Source organism: Homo sapiens, chromosome 1 (genome assembly GCF_000001405.40).
Source record: "Homo sapiens chromosome 1, GRCh38.p14 Primary Assembly".
In the NCBI taxonomy this organism is placed as follows: Eukaryota; Metazoa; Chordata; class Mammalia; order Primates; family Hominidae; genus Homo; species Homo sapiens.
Window position 1 is genome coordinate 108,622,145 of NC_000001.11, and position 12,358 is coordinate 108,634,502.

The 12,358-nt window shown below is 40.0% G+C and overlaps 1 protein-coding gene across 1 annotated transcript in view; it reads left to right on the forward strand.

The window, feature by feature from the left end:
- EEIG2 (EEIG family member 2) overlaps nucleotides 1-12,358 on the forward strand; it is a 79,223-nt gene that overhangs the window by 62,045 nt on the left and 4,820 nt on the right. Inside the window, exons 6-10 of the mRNA NM_001010883.3 lie at nucleotides 2,501-2,604; nucleotides 6,023-6,118; nucleotides 6,251-6,440; nucleotides 6,533-6,660; nucleotides 7,444-7,513. Coding sequence (NP_001010883.2) covers nucleotides 2,501-2,604; nucleotides 6,023-6,118; nucleotides 6,251-6,440; nucleotides 6,533-6,660; nucleotides 7,444-7,513 — 588 coding nt within the window. The remainder of the gene's footprint in view (nucleotides 1-2,500; nucleotides 2,605-6,022; nucleotides 6,119-6,250; nucleotides 6,441-6,532; nucleotides 6,661-7,443; nucleotides 7,514-12,358) is intronic.

The window sequence follows — 12,358 nt, forward strand, 5'->3', positions numbered from 1 at the left end:
AACTCCGTCTCAAAAAAGAAAAAAGAAAGGAGAAAGAAAATACAGCTGTTGGTAATTGAAGAGGCAGGTCTAGGCCAGACTGCAAGTTCTGAGGGATTTGAGTTTTATGCCGAAGGAGCTATGGAGGGGTTTTAAATAAGAGAGTAACATGTTCAGAGGCAAGTTTCAGAAAGACCACAGTGACAGTAGCATGGAGTAGAGATTGGCAGACCAGCAAGGAGACCCTTGCAGTCAGCCAGGAGAAAGGTACAAAGGCCAAAACTCAAGTAATTAGTGGAGATGGAGAAGAGATGATGAATAGGAAAAATACTAAATGAGGATCTGAGATTTGGAAATTGATTGGACATGGGAAAATGTTATTAGGAAGGAGGCAGAGGTGATATCCGTAATTCTAGTTTTGGTGACTTTGTGGATTGCAATGACATTTACAGAGAGAATACAAGAAGAAAACAGTTTTGGGAAAGATGAGTTTAGTTGGGGAGATATTGAGTTTCACGTACCTGTAGGACAAATACTTGAAAGCGTCTCAATAGGATATGTAAGTCTAGAATTTAGGAGATCCTAGGCTGGAAATAGTCAATAAATGCAATAGATTTAATAGCAATCTTAAATGTCTCTATCCCCAAGAATCCGAGTAGCCTGAGAACTCCATTAAGAATAACAGGGTAAGAATTTAAGAATTGCCATAAAGCAGGTCAGCTGCATGATTCCTTCAGCCACCTCCCTGTTTTATCTCTGGTCACCAAGGCATAGTTTCTGGGAAGATGTGGTTTTCCTCTGCAATATCAGCCTCAAAAGGTTAGGGATTGGCTGGGCATGGTGGCTCGTACCTGTAATCCCAGCACTTCAGGAGGTCAAGGTGGAAGGATCACTTGAGACCAGGAGTTAGAGACCAGCCTGGGCAACATAATGAGACCCTGTCTCTAAAAAAAAATGTTTTTAGAAGGTTAGGGATGTTTTCTAATAAAAATCCCTATGTTAAAAAGGAAACCCAATGGGATCACTAGTCAACAATAATTTGTTGCACGTTTTAAAATAACTGAAAGAGTCTGGGCACCATGGCTCACATCTGTCATCCCAGCACTTTGAGAGGCTGAGGCAGATGGATTGCTTGAACCCAGGAGTTCGAGACCAGCCTGGACAACATAGGGAGACCCCCATCTCTGCAAAAAAAATTTAAAGTCTCTACTAAATGTAAAAAAAAGCCAGGCATGGTTCTGTGTGCCTATAGTCCCTGCTAACTGGGGGACTAAGGAAGAAGGATTGCTTGAGCTGGAGAAGTGGAGGCTGCAGTGAGCCATGATTGCGCCACCGCACTCCAACCTGGGTGACAAAGCGAGACCCTGTCTCAAAATAAATGAGTAAAAAATAAAAGAGTATAATTGGACTGTTTTGTAAGAAAGGATAAATGCTTGAGGTGATGGATACCCCATTTACCCTAATGTGATTATTATGCATTGCATGCCTGTATCAAAATATCTCATGTAACCCATAAATGTATATACCTATTATGTATCTACAAAAATAAAAAAATATTTTTTTTTTGAGACGGAGTCTCGCTCTGTCGCCCAGGCTGGAGTGCAATGGTGCAATCTCGGCTCACTGCAACCTCTGCCTCCCGGGTTCAAGTGATTCTCCTTCCTCAGCCTCCTGTGTAGCTGGGACTACAGATGCATGCCACCACACCCGTCTAATTTTTGTATTTTTAGTAGAGACTGGGTTTCACCATGTTGGCCAGGCTGGTCTCGAACTCCTGACCTCAGGTGATCCACCCGCCTTGGCCTCCCAAAGTGCTGAGATTACAGGCGTGAGCCACTGCACCCAGCCAAAAATTTTTAAAGAAAAAAAAAACTGTTAGAAATTAAATTTACCCCTCCTTGCTTCACAGCTTTTACGTGGAATAGGAGTTTGAATTAACCAATGAAAATAGATCCATTACTACTCCCAGAGAATCCAATCCAAAAAACAAATCTAAACAACTGGGCCTCTCTGTAGACTCTCCCTGGGCAGGTGAACTGTTTACAGAGATGAAGGTAGAAGATAAAACCATGGATACTATTTAAAAAGTGAGTGGAGCCAGCCAGGGAGCACAGTCTCTGAAGCAGGAGGCACGAGGCATTCTCCTCCCAGCCTGATTCAAAAGGGCTTGGCACTGCCTTCCTCAGCTGAAAGGTGCTGTCCTGAGTTGACAGTTAGAGCAACCCTCCCTTGACCAGTGCTGGGTTCACACTGACAGAGGCCTCTCTTTTTAGGACTCTATGGAGACAATGCCCTTTTCTTGTTATGTTAAAAAAAAAAAAAAAAACCCTTTTCTTTTATGAATTTTATTCAAGTTTTGAAAAGATGCTTATACGTTATTTGCTGATCTTTGTTACTTTCACTCTCAAAGGGGTAACATTACCAAGCAGTCTATGCTAAGGCTTACTAAGCTCACCAATCAATAACTATTGTAAACTTTGAGGCTCCCCCACAACTCCAGTTCGTAAATGTTTATTTACAGGCCTCCCTCCACTTCAATGTCTATACCAATTGCTGGTGAATCTGAATCTTTGCAAGAAGATAGAAAAGGTGGAGAGACTCTCAAAGTGCATCTTGGAATAGCAGGTATGGATGTGTGGCTTACTGGTTTTTTAATTTGTGAGAGACGACTTGATGCCCTAAAAATTCTTTGGGAATTGTGTGGGTATTTGACTTGAAACAGGCCAATAAGAATCAACAGTTTTAATTATGTAATTCTTGGTTGATCCAGTGCTTTATTTTGTCTAAAGTATTGTGCTCTGACAGATTAAAAACTAGATGTTACAATGACACTCTCCTCACTGTATGCATCTACTCCCCACAGGTACAAGAGAATACTACAGGATTTTTTCCATTTTTCCCGTTCCATTACCCTGCAACTTCTGCAAAGCAGCTTCTGCCTCTCGGGTGTCGCTCCTCTTCCATGAATCGCTTTCCCTCTGTCAGTGGTTCTCAAGCCCTAGTGTGCATCAGAGTCTCCTGGAGGGCTTGTGAAAACACAGGTTGCTGGCGGCAGCAGCCAGAGTGTTCGATTCAGTAGATCTGGGTTAGAGCCTGAAGTTTTGTATCACTAAGGCATTCCCACAAGACGCTGATGCTGCTAGTCCCTGACCACACCTTGAGATCCACATTTCCAGACACACTTCTGGCAGCAGTCAGAATCTGCTCCAGAAGTAAAAGCATGGTGGGGATAATGTCAAGGTTGCAGGAGGAAAAGGACTTAGGAGCTTCCTTCTTTCTTCAGTATTATGTGAACAGGATGTATTGTTTGAAAGAAGGGAAAGGTGAAGTTATATAATTAACCCTTTCACTGCCTTTTAAAATATGCAAATATTTGGTTTCTTATAAATAATGGTGACTCTGAAATTTCCTGTTTTGGGATCAGTGGATCTTTTGGGAACTTGTAACCATTCCATTAGCTCCTTCTCTTCAGCATGTAAATATGCTGATTTCTTTCTCCTACTGAAAAAATGAAAACAAAAACTCCTTAGCCCTACATCCTTCTCTATCTACTGCACTCCCTTAGACTCCAGCAGGCTGGCGCATGTGCTCACATGCTCTCTCTCTTCCCCCACTCTGCCCCAAATATAGATACATCTCTCTCTCTCTCTCTGTGTGTGTGTGTGTGTGTGTGTGTGTGTGTGTGTGTGTGTGTGTGTGTGTGTGGAGAGAGAGAGAGAAAGATCAGCAAGAGATGATATATGTACCACACACTTCTTATAGCCAAACTTCTAGAAAGAATATACTGTCCATTTATTCCTAAACACATTAGCAGTCTGGCTTCCATCATCTGCCCTCTCTTGCTGCTATCCCCTGATACATGATTGTCAAGTCCTGTGGACATTTGTTCTGGTCTTATCTGATGGCCAGTTATTCATTCTTGATGCTTTCTCTTCCCTTGGCTCCTACCTCTCTGATCTTTCCTTTTCTAGCTTCTTAGAGGCTTCTTCATCTTCCTCCAACTTCCCTTTACATATTGATGTTCCAAAGGGTTTGGTCCCCTCACTTCCTTGAGCAATACCATCTATACCCTTGGCTTTATCTATCACATAAATGTAAATGTGATTCTGTGATGTACATGTGATCAAATGCTTTGGGGAAAGGTCCACTTCATACCAAATGTAACACTGAAATCCATCTGTTTCTCTTTCTACCCAGCCAGAGTCTAACTAAGTTCTTCATGATCAGGTCTTATTTATTTCTGTATCCCCAGCAGAAGGCCCGGGACACAGTAGATGAGTGACTGTTGAATAGGCATCCTCAGGTGTCTCTAATTCCGCATATCTAGCACAAGTCTTCCTACCTTTTCCTCCTGTCTTTTCTACTTCAGTTTTCCTGACACAAACTTCTCCTTTCTTATTGAGTCCTGCTATTTGTGCCTATGAAACATCTCTCCCTCTCAGCTGGATTATTATGAAAACCTACACTCTTATGCCCCCTGTTTATCCTGTTGCCAGAGTGTTCTTCCCAAAATGTAGATTTGATCATGTCACACCCTTTCTTAAAGCCACTGAACTGTTTTCTTCTTTAAACTCATAGAAGGTTCTTCATCAACAGGCATCTACTCATCTTTCTAGCCCCTTTTCCCTCGGTTATTATACTCCACTACCCTATATGCCAACTTTACCAAACGATCTGCTTCCCTACAAAGAAGGCATGCTCTTCCCGGTGCCTTTCCTTGCTCATCTAGCTCAGGAGTTCCTATACGTCGCTCAAGTCCTGGGGTTAACCTCCTCTGTTACCAGGTTGTGTCAGATGCACTGTCCTTTGGAGCTCTTAATAGCTGCTTTTTTGTGCTTGTATTTTTGTACTTACCACATTGTATAAGTTTTGCTTCTACCTCTAAACTCTAAGCATGTATTTTGTCTTATTTTGTACTTCCTATACCTTGTACAGTATTAGGCACCTGACTGGGTAAAATATTAATAAATATTGATTGAATGAATAAATTTTGAAAACCAGAAGATATGTGGATGACTTAAGATCTGGGCCAAACCCAGAAGTAAAGAGCGCTGCATAACTCGATATGAACCAACTTTTTGAGTTCAGATTTTGCTGAATGTTTGCTTTTGGACCACTTATACTCTGTCCAGAAATGAGAAACCTTTGCAGAAGGACCAGGTTACTCCAGTATTTTCCTTGTTTTGCAGCATTTGTTGGTCCAACTGCATGCAGTATCATTTATAGAATAGCTGCTATAATAGCTATGTTACTCAATTGCTTTCCTTCTGCTTCTAAGTTAAAAACAGTTCTTGTTTCCAAATATGATTGTGCCCTAGGGAAAATGGTCACAGTTCTGCATTCTCTGGAAGAAGCCTGGTTCTGAAAATATGTAATTGGCACCTGGAACATACACATGATCAGAAACTATTAGAAATGGCTTTGACACTGCCTTTTGTACATTTACTTTGAATATGAATACTATAATCACTTTCTTAAGAACTTTTACTCTCAGTGCTACGTCCCATGCTGTGTTGATTTAAGCCACAGACATTGCCCAAATTATAGCCTAGCACTAACAACACTAACATTAAAGTAATAGAGTACTCTTTAGCTTGCTGTTGTGATGGATTTTTAAGGAAGCAGTATTTCCTTAGAAACCACATTAAAACCTACCAATTTTGTGAACATTTATAAGAATACATCTGAGTCATTTTTGTTAGAGAAATACTGAACACTAAAACTGTAGCAGTTTTAAGATAGAGTGCTGTTAAATGTTTTGAACAACAGGAGTTTATTGCATAGACTGAACTAATAAAGGACTGAAATAATTTTTTAATGTTATGAAAAATATAATTCTTCAGCGAACTAAGGTATTTAAATACTTTGTATATCTTGCAATACAGTTACTTCCATTGCACTGACTTAAAAGGATGTCCCTCATTTTGTAACTTATTGTTTTGATAATGAACTTGGCAGAGTTTATAAAGTCTGCAGAGTAGAATACAAATTGACCATTAACTTTTTGGCAATAAGAATGACATCATGTTATGACATATTACAGATCTTTCAGCAAAGAGTGCCTCTGTTCCAGACGAACTTGGTGCCTGTGGACATTCTAGAACATCAAGCTATGCAAGTCAGCAGTCAAAAGTATCAGGTAGAGGCTAACAGTGAAGTTGAATTCCTTATTGTTCCAAAGGGACTTGAAACTGCTGTGGTGTGGGGGAACGATGTCAGATTGCAGAGTGTTTGATATGAGTATTATATCCAAGGTGATTTTCTCTGACAGGGTATAGCACGTGTCACTCCCGGTCATCTAGTTTCTCTGAGCTCTGCCACAGGAGAAATACCTCAGTGGGAAGCACATCAACAGGAGTTGAAAGTATTCTAGAGCCATGTGATGAAATTGAGCAGAAAATCGCTGAGCCAAATCTTGATACAGCTGATAAAGAAGATACAGCTTCAGAAAAACTCAGCAGGTATCCTTTTAGTTTAAAGAATAAATTTTAATTTTTAAAAAACTTTGTTTTCATAACATAATAAAAAGGAAAAAATGTAATTCTTTTCAAAGATGCCCAGTGAAACAAGATTCTGTAGAATCTCAGCTGAAGCGAGTTGATGACACCAGGGTGGATGCAGATGACATTGTAGAGAAAATATTACAAAGTCAAGACTTCAGCCTAGATTCCAGTGCGGAAGGTGTGTAGGTAACTGTTAAGCATAGATTCCTGCAATCCAGGTTTTTGTAATCTGTGTAGTCAGCAGTAAAGAGGCTCAGAACATCATAATACTGACTGTTGCATATTTGTATAGTAAATTTCATGCCCATAAAAATATCAAGATAACTTTATAGCTCATTTATTAATGAGAATGAGTATTGAGTTTAGAAAAAGAACAAATGTTAGTTAAAAGTGATCAATTTTAAATAAAACATTTATTGTGTTTTTAATTATGCCTAGATGTCTACAGCGTTCGTATACCTAATGATAGGTATCTACATCTGCTTTTGTTATAAGTGCTTTAAGCCACTGTTGTAATTTGGAGGTGGTCTTAGAACAATAGTGAATAATGGAATCCTTCATTCCCTCCTTAGAATTTTCACTGAAGCTGAAAATTTGTATGCCACCAATTTGAAAGGTATAATTACTCATGTTGATGTGAATAGAAAGCACTTAACAGTGGACTTATTTTCATTATGTAGTTGGGTGTAAAGAGAAATAATTAAACCTTACTTTGGAAATTTCTAGGAAGAGCTATCTCCATTACTCAGTTAAAAGAAAAAGAGTTTTAGAAACATTGAAGAGAAATAACCTTTAGAGTATCTTTTAAATTGCCTATTTTAAAACATGTATATAACTTTGGTTTTTAAGTTGTTTATTTCTCTAATAAACAATTGTAAAATATGAATTATTACAATATCCATATATTTGACAATAGTCTAATAATTGTACATGTAACAAACATTTTAAATGTGTATTGCAGAAGAAGGACTAAGGCTATTTGTGGGTCCTGGGGGAAGTACAACCTTTGGCAGTCATCATCTTCCAAATAGGTAAGTAGTACAAATAGTGTCTTATTAAAATATAGACTAATTTTTTTAAAAAAATCATGAGTAGAGGATGATGGTTGCAAAGTTTGTACTAGGCTGAAGCAAGGAAACACAGATAGTAGTAGTTACATGCGAAGAGTTACAGCTCTTAGTGTAGCTCTCAGTTTTCTTAATTCTGGGTATGTTTGACATTATATTTTATAAATTAGTTTTTAATTTCCTTAGAAATATTTTTAAAGGGTATTAGTCAAGGACCAGTAGACCATTGGGAAAGTTGCAATATAAAAGGACACTTAGAAAAGAGTTCTTAGTCTTTCAAAACATTAATTTTTTATTAATTTATTTTCTAGAGACAGGGCTGTTGCCCAAGCTGGAGTGCAGTGGTGCAGTCATAGATCACTGTAGCCTCAAACTCCTGAGCTCAAGTGATCCTCCTGCCTTAGCCTCTTGAGCAGCTGGGACCATAGGCATGCGCCACTGTGCATCGCTAGTCTGATAATTTAGGAAGAGCAAAGCAAAATTACATTTTCAGTCAATGATCTTATCTTTTCCGAGCAGTTACACAGCCACTGAGCAACTTAAGCTGCTGTTAACCTTTCTTGTACTCTCCTTTTCTCCACCCCACTGCCATACATATTAAAACCATCATTCTCAGCAAACTATCGCAAGGACAAAAAACCAAACACCGCTTGTTCTCACTCATAGGTGGGAATTGAACAATGAGAACACATGGAGACAGGAAGGGGAACATCACACACCACGGCCTGTTGTGGAGTGCGGAAGCGGGGAGGGAATAGCATTAGGAGATAAACCTAATGTTAAATGACGAGTTAATGGGTGCAGCACACCAACATGGCACATGTAAACATATGTAACTAACCTGCACGTTGTGCACATGTACCCTAAAACTTAAAGTATAATAATAAAAAAAGAAAAGTTCTGAAAAACCAAATACCATTTTGCTAGTTATTCAGATGCAGATGAAGAAAAGTCACCTGCCAAACTTACATTGATTATCAGCACTGCAGCAGATAATAGTGAGCACAGACACCAAGGACAGTGTAGGAATTCTAATCACTCACTTGCTCCTTAACAACCTGCTCCCCACACTTCTGTGCACCCCTAATTCCATTCCATGTCGTATTTATGTAGAGTCCCTGCACAACTACAGAGTGAGTCACAGTTGCAGGTGGGTAGCTCCTTGGACCAAGACAGTTATTGTATTCTCTCGTGGTCAAAACCTAAAAGAATTTTGCATTCATTTCTTTTACTAATACTCATTTTAATGAGTACCTCCTATTTGTCCAGCACATTACAAGGCTCAAAAATAGACTAACAGCAAAAACCTACATCAACGATTAACTACAATCAGATATCATAAGTAGGTAAGAGAGAGACATATAAAGCTACTTTCAGGGAGTAATGTGAAAAAGGATTTACAGAAGATGTAACACTATTTAGATCTTTGATTGACTCATCTGCTTATTAAATTCAGTAACTGTTTCTTGGGCCAATTTGTAGGTAAGGATGCAAGTAGAAAAGACCCAGCTCTTACCCTCTGCTGGCTTATGGTCTAGCACATGGGGCTGGCAGGCTATAGCCCATAGGCCAAATTGGCCCACTACCTGTATTTATAAAGTTTCATTGGAACACAACCATGCCTGTTTATTTGTATAGTGTTTACTGCTGCTTTGATGCTACAGTAGCAGAGCTGAGTGGTGCAGCAGAGACTCTGTGGCCCACAAAGCCTAAAATATTTACTGACTCTTTTTTACAGATGAGATGGACAAACTAAAAGTCATAACATTATAATAAATACTGTAATAGAGGGAAGTTTGAGAGAACAGAAACAGGATCTCAGAGTTCACACTTGAAGAGAGACTTTGGGAGAATAAAAAATAAGTGGGGGGCTTATAAGGTGAATATGATGAATACAAATACTCCTGGTAACAAATAGAATGAGTTTATAAGTACAGTAATTATGATATATAATTATATCATAATAAACATATAGCAATTATAGGTAGCATTGAGCATTTATTAGTTATGTGCCAGGCACAGGTACATATATATTTTTTATTCAATTCTTATGTAGTAGTATCTTTCAGTGCTCACAACATACTACAATTAGTTTGGTGTTTTTTTAATGGAAACAAAGATACAAAGAAGTAATTTGAGGCTGGACATGGTGGCTCACACCTGTAATCCCAGCACTTTGGGAGGCCGAGGCAGGTGGATCACTTGAGATCAGGAGTTCAAGACCAGCCTGGCCAACATGGCAAACTCCCATCTGTACTAAAAATAAAAAAATTAGCCGGGTGTGGTGGCGGGCGCCTGTAATCCCAGCTACTTGGGAGGCTGAGGCAGGAGAATCACTTGAACCCAGGAGGTGGAGGCTGCGGTGAGCCAAGATTGCACCACTGCACTCCAGCCTGGGCGACAGAATGAGACTGTCTCAAAAAAAAAAAAAAAAAAAAAAAAAGAAGAAGAAGAAGAAGTAATTTGCCCAAGGCCTTAAAACTAGTAAGTGGTAAAACCAAGATTAAAACTCATGTCTCTTTGAGTCCAAATCCCATTGTACTTAACCAGTATATTTTACTGGCTCATTAATAATATAACATAGTTCAGGTTCTTCTGAGGAGAGGGGGTTGTGAAAGGGTATTTAGGGGCATGAGGTTGGCAAGCATCTCTGAGCTAGGTTGTAAAGGGCCTCACTTGCCATAACAAAGTTTCTTCTTCTCATGTGCACAGTGGGGAGCCATTGGCCATCTTTGCAGGGAAGTGACCTATCAGATTGGCATTTTAGAAAAATAACCGGCCATAATTTGAAGGGTAGATTAGAGCAAGGAAAGACCAGTAGCAGGGGGAACTAGGTAGAAAAGTAACATTTATGAGGACAGTGGTATGAATGATGGAGTGAACATGTGTTTTTGAGTTAGAGACTTGGGTTCACATCCTAGCCAGACCACTTTTGGGGCCTGAGTAAATCACTTAACTTCAATAGAACTTTAGTTACCTCTGCTGAAAAGTAGGAATAACCATGCCTATCTCATGGAGTAATTTTAAAGGGTAAATGACATAATATACTCAGTAAGCCCTGGCTTTATTAATTTAGGTACAGAACAGCAGAAAAGGTAGTTCCAACCAAATGGAATTTTTTTTTCTAAGAGATAGGGTCTCACCCTGTCACCCAGGCTGGAGTGCGGCACAATCTCAGCTCACTGCAGCCTTCAACCCCGGGCTCAGCCTGCTGAGTAACTAGGACTACAGGCATGCACCACCATGCCCAGCATTTTTTTTTTTTTTTTTTTATAGAGACAGAGTCTCACTGTGTTGCCCAGGCTGGTCTCAAACTCCTGGCCTCAAGTGATCCTCCCACTCCAGCCTCTCAAAGTGCTGAGATTACAGGCATGAGCCGTTGTGCCAAGCCTTCAACCAAAAGGCATTTAAATAGTAAATGGTCAAAAGCACGGGCTGTCTTAGACTGCCTGGGATCAAGTCCTAGCTCTTCCACTATTGATTGATACTGTTGACCTCTGTAAGTCTCAGTTTCTTTGCCTATAAAATGAGAGTGATAAATAAGATCCTGAACTCATAGGATGTAAGACTAAATTAGATGACTTATGTAACATTTTTTGGTTTTCATTTTTGAAAGACAAGGTCTCACTCTGTTGCCCAGGCTGGGGCGCAGTGATGTGATCACAGCTCACTGCAGCCTCCAATTCCTGCACTCAAGCGAACCTCCTGCCTCAGCCCCTGAGTAGCTAGGACTACAGGTGTGAGCCACCATGCCCAGCTTTTCTTTTTTAACTTTTTGTGGACACAAGGTCTTGCTGTGTTGCCCAGGATACAGCCTGGCCCACTTGGGTTTTCTTACTGGGACCGGCATGCACCTGCCTGCTTTCCTTTAGGGACGTTAAATTTTTTCTGACAAGAAGTCTGCCTGTATTTTTATTTTATTCTTCTGTATGTGATTTGTCTTTTATATCTGGCTGCTTTTAAGATTTTCTGTTTATTACTGGTTTTTAGCACTTTGGCTATGATGTGCCTTGAATATGTTTTTCCTTGTGTTTATTCTGCCTGGGGTTCATCAAGCTTTTTGGATCTATGGGTTTACAGTTTTCATCAAATCTGGAATTCTCCAGCCATTATTTTCCCCAACCCCTCCTTCTGTTATTCTGATCTACAAATTCTAGTCCCTAGCCCCTCTGAGCTTTGATCTCTGACTCCTTCACTCAGAGAGACCAGCAGGCTGTGTTTGGGGTCTTCCTCTCTGCACTGCAGGCTCGGAAGATCCTGAAGGAAACTGCTTCAGGCAGCTAGCTGGGGCGGTTGTCGGGCTCTCTTCATTTATTTCTTGTTTCTTGGGACCACAGTCCTGCACTGCCTGTTGTCTAGTATGTGCAAACTGTCATTTCACTTATTCTATCCGGTTTTCTAATTATATAAGGCAGGAGGGAAAATCTGGTTCCTGTTACTTCATCATGGCCAGAGGCAGAACATATTTAAAAGGGCATCTAAAAGCCAGTGTGCCATGCTGCCCACCATGGTTTCTTCAAATTCTGATTTTCTGTAGGATGAATGGGTGCTCACTGGCATTCTGTTGAGGAAGTTCCTATTTCTTCTGTAGAATGAATCTGTGAGAACAGGAGTTTCTGGGCAATCAACTGAGAAGTCCAGCCAAGTCCATGGTGGGCTAGTAATCACTACCTTACTTCTGTTGTTTAGAATTTCCTCTTAAAATGCCATTAAGGAGAGACACTAGTCATGGTGGTTGCTTCTGGGCTTACTAAACTCAGGCACACTCATGGTAAAATGACAAGTAGTAGGGTATACCCTAACATCTTG